Below are 17,440 nucleotides of genomic sequence, written 5' to 3'. Positions count from 1 at the left end.
ACCTTTTTGCCTTGATGTTCATGGCTCCTTACTAATCAGGATGGTGGTTGCTAAAAGTGGTGGGGCTAGCTGCAGCAATTTCTAAAAATAAGACAACAATGAAGTTTGCCATATTGATTAACTCTTCCTTTCATGAAAGATTTCTCCACAGCAGGCATTGATGATTGATTTGAGGTTTGATGGCATTTTAACAGTAGTAAAACTTCTATCAAAATTGGAGTCAATCCTCTCAAACCATGCCATTGCTTTATCAACCAAGTTTATAGAACTTTTTAAATTCTCTGTAATCATTTAACAATGTTCCCAGCATCTTCCCCAGGAGTAATTGCCATCTCCAGAAATCACTTTCTTTGCTCATCCATAAGAAGCAACTCCTCCTCCATTCAAGTTTTATCATGAGATTGTAGCAATTCAGTCATATCTTCAGACACCAATTCTAGTTCTCTTGCTATTTCCATCACATCTGCAGTTACTTCCTCCATGGAAGCCTTGAACCCCTCAAAGTAATCCATGAGGACTGAAATCAACTTCTTCCAAACTCTTGTTAATGTAAATAGATTGACCTCCTTCTGTGAATCATAAATATTCTTAATAGCATCTAGATTGATGAATCTTTTCCAAAAGGTTTTCAATTTGCTTTGCCCAGGTCTATCAGAAGAATGGCTATCTATGGTAGCTATAAGCCTTACAAAATATATTTCTTAAATAATAAGACCCCAGAGTCAAAATTACTCTTGATCCACAGGCTGCAGAATGAATGTCATGTTAACAGGCATGAAAACAATGTGCATCTCCCTGTACATCTTCATCACAGGTGTAGGGTGACCAGGAGCATTGTCCGTGAGCGCTAATATTTTGAGAGGAGTCTTTTCTGGGCAGTAGGTCTCCACAGGCTTAAAATGTTTAGTAAACCATGCCATAAACAGATGTACTGTCATTGAGGCTTTGTTGTTCCATTTATAGAGCATGAGCAGTGAAGATTTAGCCTAATTCTTAAAGCACTTTGGATTTTCAGAATGGTAGATGAGCATTATCTTCAACTTAAGAAGTCACCAGGTACATTAGCCCCTAACAAGAGAGTCAGCGTCTTGCCCTGTCGCCCAGGCTGGAGTGCAACAGCCTGATCTTGGCTCATTGCAACCTCTGCCTCCCGGGTTCAGGCGATTCTCCTGCCTCAGCCTCCTGAGTAGCTGAGATTACAGGCACACACCACCACACCCGGCTAATTTTTTTGTATCTTTAGTAGAGATGGGGTTTCACCATGTTGGCCAGGCTGGTCGATCTCCTGACCTTGTGATCCACCCGCCTCAGCCTCCAAAAGAGCTGGGATTACAGGCATGAGCCACCGTGCCCGGCCGCCTTTTGAAGTTTTGAAGCAAGGCATTGACTTCTCCTCCCTAGCTATGTAAGTCCTAGATGGTATCTTCTTCCAAGAGAAGGCTATTTCGTCTACATTGAAAATCTGTTTAGTGTAGCCACCTTCATCAATTAACTGAGCTAGATATGGATAACCTGCTCTAGTTTCTATGTCAGCACTTGCTGTTTCACCTTGCACTTTTATGTTATGGAGATGGCTTCTCTTACACTTCATGAACCAACCTCTGCCAGCTTCTAATTTTTCTTCTGCAGCTTTCTCAAGTCTCTCAGCATTTACAGAATTGAAGAGAGTTAGGGCCTTGCTTTTCATTTAAGGGAATATTGTAGCTGGTTTGATCTGCTATCTGGACCACTCAAACTTTATATCAACAATATGGCTGTTTCACTTTCTTGTCATTCCTGTGTTCACTGGAGTAGCACTTTTAATTTCCTGGAGACTTTTCCTTTGAATTCACAACTTGGCTGTTTTGCAAAAGAGGCCTAGCTTTCTGGCCTCATCTTGGCTTTTGACATGCCTTCTTCATTAAGGTTAATTACTTCTAGCTTTTGATTTAAAGTAGAGTTATGGGACTCTTCCTTTCACTTGAAGATTTACAGGCCATTGTAGGGCTATTAATTGGCCTAACTTCAATATTGTTGTGTCTCAAGGATTAGGATAAGGGAGAGAGAAGGGGGAACTGGTCAGTGGAGGACCCAGAACACACACAACATTTACCAAGTTCACCATCTTAAATAGGTGCACTTCTTGGTGCCCGAAAAACAGTTACAATAGCAACATCAAAGAACAGTGATGACAGATCACAATGCTAAAATAATAATGAAAACTTGTGAAATATTTGGATAATTACCAAAATATGACACAGAGACACGAAGTGAGCAAATACTATTGAAAAAATGGCACCAAAGCCTTGCTTAATGCAAGATTGCCACAAACCTTCAATTTGTTAAAAAAAAAAAACACACACACACATACACACACACAATTACTATGAAGTACAATAAAGTAATGCATGATAAAATGGCATATGCCTGTATTTAAAATAAATTTCCCTTGCATCAATAAATTGACATGAATTAAATAAAGGTGACATAAAAAAGTTTTAGGCCCTCTTTATGCCTCATTATGCCTCACACAAATGCTCCCTTCAAAAAAACATGAGTCTTCAAAGCATCCATATTAAACTAAGTGCTCTTTCACATTGCTTATAAAAATTACCATCAATGATAAATAAAATTATTCAAAAGTTATGATTAACCATTCATTTATAAATATCAAGCTACTAATCTCACATAATTGAAAAATCTTTAAAATAAGTATATTTTTATTACTTACTTTAATTTATTGGAATAAATACATCTTATTTCTTATTTAAATCTTACCTTTTAGAGTACTATTTCTCTGAAATTACAACATCAAGAAAAAAGAAACTTATCTGATGATCCCAAAGCCAAACCCATGCTAACAAACAAGAAAATTCACTTTTCATACCTTAAGATAGCAGTGTACATAACAATAATGAAGCAGGTTATCAGAAGGTTGAGTAAGGCTGCTGACCACATGCACCAACTGTTCAGCATACATTGGCACTGAATGTTCCAGATTAATTTTATCCACCAATATTCGAATGGATGGCAAAGGCCGAAGAGACTGGAAGTTTGTAGTATTCATGAAGTTACTTGAGTTCTAGAAAATAATAGTGTTCGCTTTATATTTTAAAAGTGGAGCAGTGACTGAGTTGCAGTTCCCTCTATGCAAGCTTCAGATCTGCACATTTGCAGTGATATCAAATCAATCTAGAAATGATGCCTTTCTACAGAACTCTCTTGCCATAACCAAATAACAAATGTCTTTCCATGTATTTTAAATATGTCCCAGACTTCAAAGAATGCATATTTTTTGCAAAATTATCATTGCCCTTTCAGCTCAAGCTTTTTTTCTTTTTCAATCAACTGGAATAGTATCACGACATGCCTCAGTATGATGAAGATATTTTATTAAGCTTAATTATTCCAAAATGTTTCCTAGATATCCAAGAGTCAGCATCTTTTATTTTAATCTCTTTTATTCACATTTAGCTGACTAAAGAACTAAATGGACTACACCACACAATGTCAAAAACATTCACAATAAGCAATGTTTGCAGGTAAGAAAAATTCCTTATCTGTATCGTATCTACTAACAATACACATGTTAAGGGCTCATAAAGTCCTAAGAATCTTGAGGACGGCACAGTATTCTCAGTTTTACAGAATCTTTCTGAGCTTTCAAATAAATACAGGTAAGTTTCAAGATGTCCAGCGTATGTACCCTGAGTGGCAAATGATCCCTGTCCTAGAACTCACTCACTCACTCCCTTAAAATGCTCTACCTGTGGTTCTCAATGAGGAATGCCATGACTTCCCATCCAGAAGAATATGACAAAATGCAAGAAGAGCAGTTTCATTGCTTTGTCTGTCTTTCATTGTCACAATAATATTGGCCTTTAGCGGGTATTGGCCAAAGATGGTAAATGCTACATAATAATTCTCCAATCCAAAAAACCAAAAGTGCCATTACTGAGAATCACTGTGCTTAAAACTAAGTCGAAAATACAATGCTGATTTTTTACTCATTACTAATAATTTTAAAACCACCATTTATTTAGGAATTATGTTGCTTTTTTAAGTGACTTTCTTTGGGATTACTAAAAAATAACACAGAATAAAGCACACAAATCTGAAGGGTAGAGCTGAATGAATTTTTACATCTGTAACCACCACCCATCTGAAGCACCCTATGAGACTGTCCCATGTCCCTTTCAAGGCAATACTAAATCCTCAACAGACGTAGCCAATCACTTCAATTGCCATAGATTAGTTTTCTCTCTTCTGGAACTTCATATAAATGAAATCATATAGTATATAATTTTTTACTCAATATTACACCTGTGAGAATTATCTGTGTTGTTCTTTCTTTCAGTTCACACTTTTATCATTATGAAGTGGCTTTCTTTATTTCAGTAATATTTCTTAGCTTAAAATCTACTTTATCTCTTAGTAAAATAGCCATGCTATCTTTCTTTTGGTTAGTGTTCAAATGGTATATTTTTTCCATCCTTTTCCTTCAAACCTGTATCCTTACATTTTCCAGTTTCACAATTTAATTTGGTGCTTTTTTTTAATGGATTGAGGTCTCTTTGGAAATCTTCCACCTTTTTGTCTTTTTCCTTAAGCAATTAATCATAAACTCCATGTCTAACAACTCTAATACCTTAATCATCTCTAAGTCTATTTATATTATTGATTTTTTATTATATTTAATTCAATTGCTTCTATTTTTAGTATACCTCATAATTTTGTATCAAGCAGATGACATCATGGGTAAAAAATTATAGAGGCTTTGATAATGCTATCTTCCCCTAAAGTAAGTTAACCATTCTTTGGCAAGCAGACAGAATACAAGTACATCATCATGGTCCTATCCAGGACTGGAATTAGGATTGCTCAGACTAATCTATTTCAATCTGTACTTATTCCTAGGGTGTGGCCCTTATAAGGTCTCAAAGGAAGGCCCCAGGTGCTAATGTGGCAGGGCCTGAACTCTAATTGTAGATACACAGCACCATGCAAATAGTCAAATTTATACTTTGCTTTCTGCTGGGTTTCCTGAAGTCTTGCATTACACATGGGCAGCTTAGGAATTAGCCAACAATCTAAAGGAAATTTTATACAAATTTTTGGGCTGCCTTCTGAGTAAGACCTCCTTGTTAGCATTTTTCCCTTTGACAGGCATACTGGAAGACCAGACATGGCTAACAAAAGAATCTCTAAGCTTGAAGTTATCTCAGTAGAAACTGCCAAAACTGAAAAGCAAACCAAAAAAAAACCCGGAATATTTCAGAACTGTGGAACAACTATAAAAGATGTAACATACATGTAATACGAATTCCACAAGAGAAGAAAAGACAGAAAGAAACAGAAGAAACATCTGAAACAATAATGACTGTGAGTTTCCTCAAATTAATGTCAGACACCAAATTAGAAACCCAGGAAACTCAGAGAACACCAAGCAGGATAAATGCCAAAAAAAAAAACAAAAAAAACCTACATACAGACACATCATTTTCAAATCATAGAAATCAAAGATAAAGTCGCCCAAAAAAATCCACAGAAAAAAATACATGTTACTTATAGAGGAGCAATGATATGAATTATACCTGACCTCCACTCAAAAACAATGTAAGCAAGAAGAGAGTAAAACAAAGTATTTTAAGAGGAAAAAACCCACAAACCTAGAATTCCATACCCCACGAAATTATCCTTCAAAAGGAGAAAAAAAGACTTTCTCAGACAAAAAAAAAAATTCAGAGAATTTGTTTCCAGTATATCTGCCTTACTAGATGTGTTAAATTCTTCAGAGAGAAGAAAAATGATAAAGGTCAGAATTTCACATCTACATAAAAAAAAACAGCATCAGAAAAGGCATAAGGTAAAAAAAGACTTTTAATTTTTGTTATTCTTAATTGATCTAATACATAAATTTTGTCAAAATAATAATAGTAATAAGTAATTACGTATGATTGTGTGTGGCAGGCTTATGAATGCTTATATAAAAATAAAATGAATTACAGCAATGATACAAGAAGCAGGATGGCAGAATTAGTATTTCTTTTATTATAAGAAACTCTGACTACCTGTAAAGTGGTATGGTGTTATTTGAAAGTGGACTTGAATTAGTTGTAAAAATATAATGCAAATTCTAGGACAAACACTAAAAAGAAGTATAACAGGTAGGTTAATAGAGGAGAGAAAATCGAATAATATAAAATGCTCAACTAAAACCACAAAAGGCCAAAAAAGAGCGGGAAAAAAAATCAGGAACAAATAACAAGGGCAAAAAATAGAAAATAGCAAGAAGTATGGTTGATGTTAGTCCAATTATATCAATAATAACTTCATATCAATGGTCTAAATGCATCAATTAAAAGACAGATTGTCAAGGCAGCTGAAGATACAAGACCCAACTATATATTGTCTACAAAAAAACCTACTTTTTAAAAAAATTTTTCTTATGTATTTATTTGAGACAAGGTCTCACTCTGTCACCCAGGCTGGAGTGCAAGTGGTGTGATCATTGCTCACTGCAGCCTCAACCTCCAGGGCTCAGGTGATCCGCTCACCTCAGCCTCCCAAGTAGCTGGAACTACAGGCACACACCAGCATGCCTGGCTAACTTTTGTATTTTTTTGTAGAGACAGGGTTTTACCCAAGCTGGTCTCAAACTCCTGGGCTCAAGTGATCAGTCCACTTCTACCTCCCAAAGCACTGGGATTACAAGCATGAGCCACCACACCCAGCCAAAACTCACTTTAAATATGTAGACACTTGTAGATTAAAAGAAAATAGAGAAATACATACCTTACTAAAACTAATCAAAAGAAAGTAGGAGTGGCTATATTAATTTCAGACAGAAGAAAAATCAGACCAGGGAAAGCTATCAGATATAAAGAAGGGATTACATAATGATAAAGGTGTCAATTCCGTAAAAAGACATAACAGTCCCTAACATGGATGTGCCTAAAGACACAGTGCCAAAAAAATAAAGCAAAATGTGATAAAATTTCAAGGAAAAAATCCAACAAACCCACTGTTTTGGTTGGAGACTTCAATATCCCTCTATCAGATATAATCAGTTCCAGCAGACAGAAAATCAATAAGGACATAATTGAACTTATAATCAACCAGATATAATAGACATCAATGGACTGCTTCATACAGCAACAACAGAGTACACATTCTTCTAAAGCTTACATAGAACATTCACCAACACAGACACATTCTAAGCCACAAAACACACCTAAACAAATTTAAAAGAAATCATACAATGTCTGCTATGAGACCATAATGGAATTAAACTAAAAATCAGTAACATAACTAAAAAATGTCAAAATACTTGGACATTAAATAAAATACTTCTAAAGAACACAAGTCAAAGAAATAAATCTCAAGAGAAATACAAAATACTTTGAATTAAATGAAAACAAAAATCCAACTTATCGAAATTTGTAGCATGCAGTGAAAGCAATGCTTAGAGGTAAGTTTATAGTATTGAGTTCATATATTACAAAAAAGGAAAATCTAAAATCAATCACCTAAGCTTACACTTCAGGAAATTAAATAAATCCAAAATAAGAAGAAAAGAATTAAAATCAAAACAGAAATCAATGAAATTGAAAACAGAAAATCAATAGAGAAAATAAACAAAACCAAAAGCTAGCTCAATAAAAATCAGTAAGCCTCTCTAGCCAGGCTAAGAAAAAGTGTAAGAGAATACAAATTCCTAATGTCAGAAATGAAAGAGGAACATTGTTACAAATCCCAAGGACACTAAAATGATAATTTTTAAAATACTAAAAAAGGCCAGGTGCGGTGGTAGCTCACGCCTATAAACCCAGTACTTCGGGAGGCCAAGGTGGGCAGATCACCTGAGGTCAGAAGTCCAAGACCAGCCTGACTGACATGGAGAAACCCCTTCTCTACTAAAAATACAAAATTAGCCAGGCATGGTGGCACATGCTTGTAATCCCAGATACTCAGGAGGCTGAGGAAGGAGAATCGCTTGAACCCGGGAGGTGGAGGTTGCTGTGAGCCAAGATCATGCCATTGCACTCCAGCCTGGGCAACAAAAGTGAAACTCCATCTCAAAAAAAAAACAAAGAAGTACTATAAACAACTCTATACCTACAAATTTGATAACCTAGATGAAATGGACCAATTCGTAAAGGATACAAGCTGATGACCTTGGGTATAATGATGACCTTCAGATATAACACAAAAGGCACAATCTATAAAACAAAGAATTGATAAGCAGGACTTCACTAAAAATTCAAAATTTCTGCTCTGCAAAATACAGGAAAATTAAAAGACAAGCCACAGATTGGGGGAAAATATTTGCAAAAGACCTATCTGATAAAGGACTGTTACCCAAAATATACAAGGAATCCTTAAAATTCAATATTAAGAAAACAAACAACTCTTAAAAAATGGGCAATAGATCTGAAGAGATACCTCACCAAAGAAGATATACAGATGGCAAATAAGCATATGAAATGATGTTTCCATATGTCATCAAGGAAATAAAAAATCAAAACAATAAGACACCATTACACATGTCTTAGAATGGCAAAGAACCGAAGCACTGACAACATCAAATGTTGGTAGGGATGTGGAGAAACAGGAACTCTTATTCACTGCTGGCAGGGATGCAAAATCATACAGCCACTTTGGAAGACAATTTGGCAGCTTCTTACAAAACTAAACATACTTTTAGCATACAATCCATCAATCACACTCCTTGGTATTTACCCAAAGGAGTTGAAAACATGCCCACACCAAAACGTGCACGTGGATGTATATGCCTGTTTTACTCACAACTCTCAAAACTTGAAAGCAACCAAGATGTCCTTCAGTAGGTGAATGGATAAGTAAATTGTGGTACATCTGTAATGGAATATTAGTAAGTGCAAAGAAGAAATCAGCTATCAAGCCATGAAAAGCCAAAGAGGAAACTTAAATCCATATCACTAAGTAAAAGAAGCCAATGTGAAAAGGCTACATACTATATGATTCCAACTATATGACAGTCTAGAAAAGGCAAAACTGTGAGGACAGTAAAAAGATCAGTGGTTGCCAGTGGTTAGGGAGAGGAAGGGATGAATAGGCAGAGCACAAAGGATTTTTTGGGAATTGAAACTACTCTATGTGATATTGTTATAGCAGATAATTATATATTTTTCAACACTCATAGAACATAAAACACCAAGAGTGAACCCTAATGTAAACTGTGGACTTTGGGTGATACTGATGTGTCAATACAGGTTCATCAATTGTAACAAACATACTACTCTGTTGAGGGATGTTGACAAAGAGGGAAGCTATGTACGTGGGGGGAGTCAGTTTATGAAAAATCTCTGTACCTTTCACTCTGCTTTGTGAATCTAAAACTGCTCTAAAAAATAGTATCTATTTTAAAAATTAGATGATAGCAAAAACAGAGATGACAAAATGCAGACATATTTTAATTGTCTCCAGTGAAATTTTCTCTACATGATCTCTTAATCGTAATACACTACCATACTTAATGATGAGTGGCCAGTAGGGAGCAAAAATAAAGTTAATGCATATAGTTAATTCCCTTACATAACTTCTTTAAAGTTAGGACACTTTTTATTTCTATGATTATCACTGTCAGCGGACACCAACCTTTCTGGCATCGGAGATTAATTTCATTGAAGACAATCTTTCCACAGACAGGAGAAGGGGTATGGTTTCAGAATGAAATTGTTCCACTTCAGGTCATTAGGTATTAGATTCTCATAAGGAGTGCCAACCTAGATCCCTTGCATGCACAGTTCACAATAGAGTTTGTGCTCCTATGAGAATCTAATGCCATCGCTGATCTCACAGGAGGCGGAGCTCAGGTGGTAACGCTCACTCACCTGCCATTCACCTCTTTCTCTGCAACCCAGTTCCTAAAAGGCAACTGACCAGTACTGGTCCGCATCCCAGGAGTTGGGGACCCCTGATCATTATATGAACATCAAAAGAAATATATCAAAAAAAAAAAAAAACACATAGGCCAGGTGTGGTGGCTCACACCTGTAATCCCAGCACTTTGGAAGGCTGAGGCAGGTGGATCACCTGAGGTCAGGAGTTCAAGACCTGCCTGACCAATATGGTGAAATCCTGTCTCTACTAAAAATACAAAAATTAGTCGGGCGTGGTGGCATGCGCCCATAGTCCCAGCTACTCAGAAGCCTGAGACAGGAAAGTTGCATGAACCCAGGAGGCATAGGTTGCAGTGAACTGAGATTTCACCACTGCTCTCTAGCCTAGGCAACAGAGCGAGACTCTGTCTCAAAAAGCAAACAAACGAACAAATAAGGCCTTGTATGTATAAGTCAAACTCAGAAAGCAATACATTGTATATGGACCATAAACAAATATTAAGCATTCTCAACAATTACAGCAGACATCACTCAGTTCCTAATACATGCAAAATAGTTTACATGCATTATTTCAATGAAAATTTAAAATAATCCTAGGAGCTAAGTACTATGGTGGGTCTAGTCTGTACCAGCATCCTGATAATGTTACACAAATCCATGCCATGAAGGCAATACTCAACCACAGCAGACCTTGGTAGAATATCCTGTGATCCTCTAAAAACAAAGGATCATATGTGGTCTTGTGAGGAGCTGCTAAAAGAGCATTTCTCATTCACCTTCCCATCTTGAGAGAGGCGGCCATGAAACATTTTCTCATCAGCATTCCTCATTCAGCTGAGTTATGGGCTTTCCACATATGCGCTAAGCTACACCACTGCTTAGCTGCAGTGTGAAACTGAATTGTTGCCAACAGGGTGCCCCACCATGTACCAATAGAAGTCATTTGGCCCTTTGTTTACAGGTTGTCCTATAGAACAAGGGACAGGGGAGCTGGCACCATTACTGACTTTGCTTCTGCTGTCTATGTAAGTAATAAACTGTCTGAATCTAGGCAGGCTGACAGTTTTACTGGCTAAAACTAAAATAGTCAGGCTGCTTGAAAAAATACAATTGTTTTCTTTTTGAGAAGAGAAAATCAGGGCTTAGAGATATAAAGTAATTGTCTATGGCATTATAGCTGGCATATGGTCTGACTTCTAGGCCCATATTCTTCAACATTTCTTTATACACTCTCAAGATTAAGTTTATTTTATTAAAAATATAAATTTAAAATTACATTTTAAAAATTAACAGTTAATTTTTAGTTCATAGTTACATTGCTTTTACTTCATCATGGATAACTATATAAGCAGATACTTTTATCTTTTTCTTTTTTTTTTTTTTGAGACAGGGTCACACTGTGACACCCAGGCTGAAGTGTAGTGGCGTGATCATAGTTCACTGCAGCCTCAAACTTCTGGGCTCAAGCAATCCTCCCACCTCAGCCTCCTGAAGAGCTGGGAATACAGGCATGTGCCACCGTGCCAAATTTTTTTTAGAGACAAGGTATTGCTGTTGCCTAGGCTGGTCTCAAACTCTTGGCCTCAAGTGTGCATCCTGCCCCAGCCTCCTGAATTGCCAGGATTACACACTCAAGCCACTGTGCCCGGCTGCAGATATTCTTTCAGTAAATGACAAAAAAAAAAAAAAAAATCCATATATGAGGGAAAAAAAATATAGCAAATCACAAAATATACCTTTTCTCCCATAATGACAGGTAGTAAATGGTCCAGCAAGTTGAATTCAGCCATGGAAATTGTGCAGGTACATTTGAGGAGAGTAACACTTGTATGTCGAGTAGGAATATATTCCTCCAGAAGAGCCACCTCTTCAGGATTCAGTATTGTTTCATTTTCATCCTTAATATCTAAAATTAAAATGATAAAAAATTAATAAAGAATATTTTTAAATAATATTCTTAAACAACTGAAAAATGAATTAGTTCTCCAAACTATAAGGTCAAATCCTGTTTTTCTTTTCAACAATGAAGCAGGTATAAAATAATAAGTTACCTTTAACAAATATAAGTTGCACTATTCTCGAATGTAAATGTATCTTTGTTATATAAAAATTTACCAGTTTTTCATTTTAATATATCTTTAAGAAATCCCCAATTTCTTTCTTTAAAAGAGTAACAGCTTTTGGTCAGTAAAATACCATTGAGATAATGTAAAGGCAAGACACAGACTGACAGAAAATATTTGCTACAGATAGATGGGGAGGGGGAAGATCCAGCTCCATGAGGGACTTGTATCCACAGCATATTAAAAACAAAAATTTTAAAAACTCCTAAAAATTGTTAAGAAATAGTCTCACACCTGTAATCCCAGCACTTTGGGAGGCTGAGGCAGGTAGATCATCTGAGGTCAGGAGTTCGAAACCAGCCTGGCCAACATGGTAAAACCCCATCTGTACTAAAAATGCAAAAATTAGCTGGGCATGGTGGCAGGTGCCTGTAATCCCAGCTACTCGGGAGGCTGAAGCAGGAGAATCTCTTGAACCCGGGAGACAGAGGTTGCAGTGAGCCGAGATCACGCCACTGTACTCCAGCCTGGGCAACAAAGCGAGACTACATCTTAAATAAATAAATAAATAAGACTACATACCTTCCTTTATAGTCTTGTTCCCCCTTCCTCCTGATTAAAATTACACACTATAATGGTGACCCAATTCTGACCATGTATATATGGCATATCTCTGGGGTTGGCAGAACAATAAAATAGAAGGAATCTGGGTCTAAGACAACCTCATAAAACAGTTTCCCTGGAATACTGACCAACTTGGACTTTTCCATGAGAAAAATAAATAACACCAATAGATCTATATTAAAAGAGTCAAGTGCCAGCACAGTGGTTCATGCCTATAATCCCAGGACTTTGGGAGGCCAAGGCAGGATTGTTTGAGCCCAGGAGTTCAAGATAAGCCTGGGCAACATAGTAAGACTTCATCTCTACAAAAAAAACAAAGATTAGCTGGGCTTGGTGGTGCACACCTATGGTCCTGGCAACTCAGGAGGCTCAGGCAGGAGACTCACTTGATTTTAGGATATCAAGGCTACAGTGAACCATGATCACACCACTGTATTTCAGCCTAGGTGACAAAGTGAGACCCCATCTCCAAACAAAAACAAAACGAAACAGCCAACCCAATATTCCATTAGAGATATATGTAAATGAAAGTTATAATGAGGTTATTTCTAACCTAAGCAAATGTTCCCTCAAAACCAAAATGAATAACTTCTCCCTCCAATATAAAGGTTTACCATAGAGTTACAGTAATTAAGTCAGCATGGTACTGACAGTGGGAAATACCACAGGTCTACTAACTGAAAACAAACTAGAGGACTCAGAAACAGACCCACACAAATATGCTCAATTGATTTTTTACAAAGGTAAAAAACCAGTTCAATAAAGAAAGGATGGTGCTAGTGCAATTGAAAATTCAAAGACACATAAATAAACCCCTATCTAAACCTCACTCCTTATGTAAAAAATTAATTCAAAATGATGACATACTTGAGTATAAAATGAAAAACATTAAAACTTTCAGATTAACCCAATTAATCTGAGCAAAAGACATATGCAGTTCACTGAAGAAATAAAAATGGCAAATAAGCACATAAAAAGATGTTCAACATCATTAGCCAATAAGGAAACACAACTTTAAAACCACAATGAGATGGCAGATTGCTCATTAAAACTACACATCTATCAGAATGGCTAAAATAAAAAGCAGTGACAAAACAAAATGCTGGGAAGATGTAAAGAAGCTGGATCACACAGTCATCGTTGGATGGTAATGTAAAATGGTATGGCCACTCCTGAAAACAGCTTGGTAGTTTCTTTAAAAAAAATAATAAACATGCAACTACCATATGACCCAGCAATTTATCCTGAAGAAATGTTTACACAAAAACCAGTACACAACTGTTCAGAGCAGCATTATTTGTAATAGCCCAAAACTAGAATAATCCCAAATATTCTTCCATAAGTGAGGGAATTAACAAACTATAGTATATGTATACAATGGAATACTACTCAGCAGGAAAAGAAACAAACTACTGATACATGCAACAACTTGAATGAGTCTCCAGAGAATTATGCTCAGCAAAATAAGTCAACCTCAAAAGCTTACATACTGTATGATTTCACTTATTTAACACTGTTGAAATGACAAAATTTTAGAAATGGAAGACAAAAGTTTCCAGGGGTTATCCCTAGCCCCTGGAAAAGAGGGAGGAGAAAGGAACATGGTAGGGAAGTGGGTGTGGTTGTAAGAGAGCAACATGCCAGATCCTTGTGGTATTGGAACTGTTCATTTTCTTGACCATGGTAGTGAACACACAAACCTACAAAGGTGATGAAATTGTATAGAACTTAATACACATGCACACAAATGAGTGCAAGTAAAACTAGGAAAATCTAAATTTTTTAAAATGAAAACATATGCCAACCATACTATTTACTATTAAAATAATAAGTTAATAACTTCCTATTCAAAACTTACTGATGATTTCCCATCACATTTAGAATAAAATCCAGACTACATGGTCCCTAAAACCCAACAAGGTGATTGATGTCTACCTCTATGACTTACAAACATTTATTGTGCTTCAGCTATTCTAGCCTGTTTGTATCCCTGTATATTGCCAAACTGTTCCTACCTCAAGGCTCTTGCACTTGTCTACATAAAACCCTCTTTTCACAAATACATGCATGATTCACTCCGTTACATCATTCACAAGTTAGCTCACATATAAACTTCAGAGAAAACTTTCCTAAAGTCCCTACTAAAACAGCTCTCCCCTCCTTCTGTTTCTGGCACTCTTGCTCACACTTCCTTTTATTTTTCTTCTCTAGTATTTATCAATGACTGAAATATTTTAACTTGTTTACTATTTGTCTACCCCATGAGGATATAAGCTCCATGAGACCAAAGGCTTTGTATGTCTTGTTTGCTATACTATCCTAGCACATAAAGAATGTCTGGCACAGGGTAGGCATTCAAGTAAGGTATAATAAATGAATGCATGAATGTGTCAAGCACTTACTGTACACTGGGTTAAGTGCTTTTATGTGCACTATCTCATTTAGTGCTCAGAACAATCATTGGAAGTAGGTCCTATCAGTGTATCATTTAAGGTAACAGTAAAGTTGCTGGGACAAAAGTAAAGTAATAGAAATTTCAACAAAAACAGCAGCTTTTTTTTTTTTTTTTTTGAAACAGGGTCTTGTTGTGTTGGCCAGGCTGGAGCACAGTGGCACAATCACAGCTCACTGCAACCTCAACCATTCAGGCTCAAGCAATTCTCCCTGCTCAGCCCGGAGACCACAGCCATGTACCACCACACCCAACTAATTTTTTTTTTTTTAATCTTTTGTAGAGACTGGGTCTTGCCATGTTGCCCAAGTTGGTCTCAAACTCCTGGGCTCAAGCAATCCTCCTGCCTTGGCCTCCCTAACTACTGGGATTACAGGTATGAGTGACCATGCTCAGTCCTTATTTCTTTTTCATGAAACAATCTGAGTCTAAAGGATCCAGGGCGGACATGGTGCCATCACAGTACTGAGGACCTAGGTGCTTTTTATCTTGCTACTCTGTCATCCTCAGCATGCAGCTTTAATCTCAGGATCTGAAATGGCAGGTCCAGCCCATACCATTGTATTTATTTTCCAGCCAGAAGAAAGAAGAGAAGAAAAGAAGGAAGGCATGCTCTTTTCCTTTTAAAGTCATGGCCCAAAACATCACATAAAGTTCTGCTCCCATCCCAGTAGACAGAACCTAGTCATATGACTATCCCTTAAATGTATAGTCTTTACTTCTGTTATAGAAATTTCTATTACTATGAAAAAGGATGGATATTGAGGAGACAATTAGCCATCTCTGTCACAGTAACTAAACGTATTGTAGAGACAGAGAAATGAAACATCAAAGATGTTAATTAAATTTCTTAAGGATACTAAGAAGTGAGGGTCAAATTTTAAACCACAGTCTGACTCCACAGGGTGAGTTCTTCATTATCTTATACTTCCTCATTACACTATTATGCTCTACTCTAGAGTTGCTTTACTGCTTTAAAAAGGAATTCGTATTTTATGAAACTATGACAACTATAGCTATCTACCATGTAGAAAAAATTAGTTGTACAGCAACTTTTTCTAAACCAGCAGTGCCTAAGTTTTCTTCAATGTTAAATTTGTGTGTTTAGAGCCCAATTTTGTATCTGGCTCCTTAGAATCCATTAATGTGAAAAAAAAAAATCATATTCACAAGTATCCACTAGAAAAAGTATCAAAAAGGTATAACAATAAAATACTGACAAATACTGGCAAATAAAGTACTTGTGCAATAATTTTCAAATCTTGATCTCTCCAACTTCTACACACAAGTTTATTCTTTAAATAAACAGCTACATATATCAAAGTCCTTGCAAACAGGCAAATTACACTAAAAACGTAAAGTTAGCAAGACAACACAAATTGGATTATATAATTATTCTCAAAACAAATGGCAAAAGATTCAAAATTAATCCAGAAACAAACCTGATTTTAGCCTGCTATATGGTTCATATTCATGTTCCAAGGCACACACAATCATTTTCAAAATCCTATGCACCGCACTGCTATCCAAACGAAAATCAAGAGGACCTATAACAAGGCTTTTGGTGGACTTCTCCTGAACTGTTCCCAAATCTTCACTTTTCCCTGAAGAAAAGTCTTGTTGATTTGTGGAACCTAAAAGAAGTCAAATTTTATATTTTAAGCATCAATTGGATATACCAAGTAAATATTTTAAAATCGCTCTTCTCTCATTTTTATAGCTTGTAGCTTAATGCCTTAAAACAAATTCCCAATCAGCTGCATACAGAGAGCCCTGCTGATTTGTATTTCTCTGTGCATATAATAAATTACTGATAAAAAGCAATTCATTAAAATTTATTCCTGTTATTTAATATTATAACAAGCAATATAAAATCAAAATTGTCATTCTTAGAAAATTATTCTGCAAAACCTAATTGGCTTATATCTAGTAATTCTATACACAATATGCATTGACTGAGAGGGGGTACTTTGGAGGAAACTCCATTTTACTAATTTATCTTAGTAAATTATCTTAGTCTATTGAAAATTGGGTTATTTAAGTAACATGATCACAGGGTGCCTTGAGAGTTTTATAATGACCATGGAAATGAACAGTAGGTATTACCTGCTTTGAACTTTTTCTAGAATAGATTCATTATAGCGATGTTCCATGGTACAGAATCCTACTTCCTAGACTCCTCATCTCCTCATACACTGTTTTCTAAATAAGATATTGGCCCCAGGTATAGGCATGTGTCATTATCTAATATGTACATCTCTTAAATGAGAGGTTTTTTGTATACATGAATCCATTATTGTGATAAAAATGATTTTTAATTTATAATGCATTTTGTTTATTCAGACAAAAAGAAGAAAGAATTTTCCAGGATTTAATAACCTTAGAAACTAGAAAAGCCTACTTACACAAAACTTTTATATCTATACCTTCTAATACTT

At 36.1% G+C, this 17,440-nt stretch overlaps 1 protein-coding gene across 3 annotated transcripts in view; it reads right to left on the bottom strand.

Annotated features, from left to right (window-relative positions):
• Nucleotides 1-17,440, bottom strand: part of VPS13B (vacuolar protein sorting 13 homolog B) — an 864,307-nt gene that overhangs the window by 717,971 nt on the left and 128,896 nt on the right. For all 3 annotated transcript variants that reach the window (NM_152564.5, NM_017890.5, NM_015243.3), the window contains exons 13-15: nucleotides 16,445-16,636; nucleotides 11,600-11,769; nucleotides 2,867-3,061 (exon numbers count right to left, since the gene is read on the bottom strand). In NM_152564.5, the coding sequence (NP_689777.3) occupies nucleotides 2,867-3,061; nucleotides 11,600-11,769; nucleotides 16,445-16,636 (557 nt within the window). The remainder of the gene's footprint in view (nucleotides 1-2,866; nucleotides 3,062-11,599; nucleotides 11,770-16,444; nucleotides 16,637-17,440) is intronic.

Source organism: Homo sapiens, chromosome 8, assembly GCF_000001405.40.
Source record: "Homo sapiens chromosome 8, GRCh38.p14 Primary Assembly".
Lineage (NCBI taxonomy): Eukaryota > Metazoa > Chordata > Mammalia > Primates > Hominidae > Homo > Homo sapiens.
Note: the sequence above shows the minus strand (reverse complement) of the source record. Positions and strands in the feature narration are given on the sequence as shown.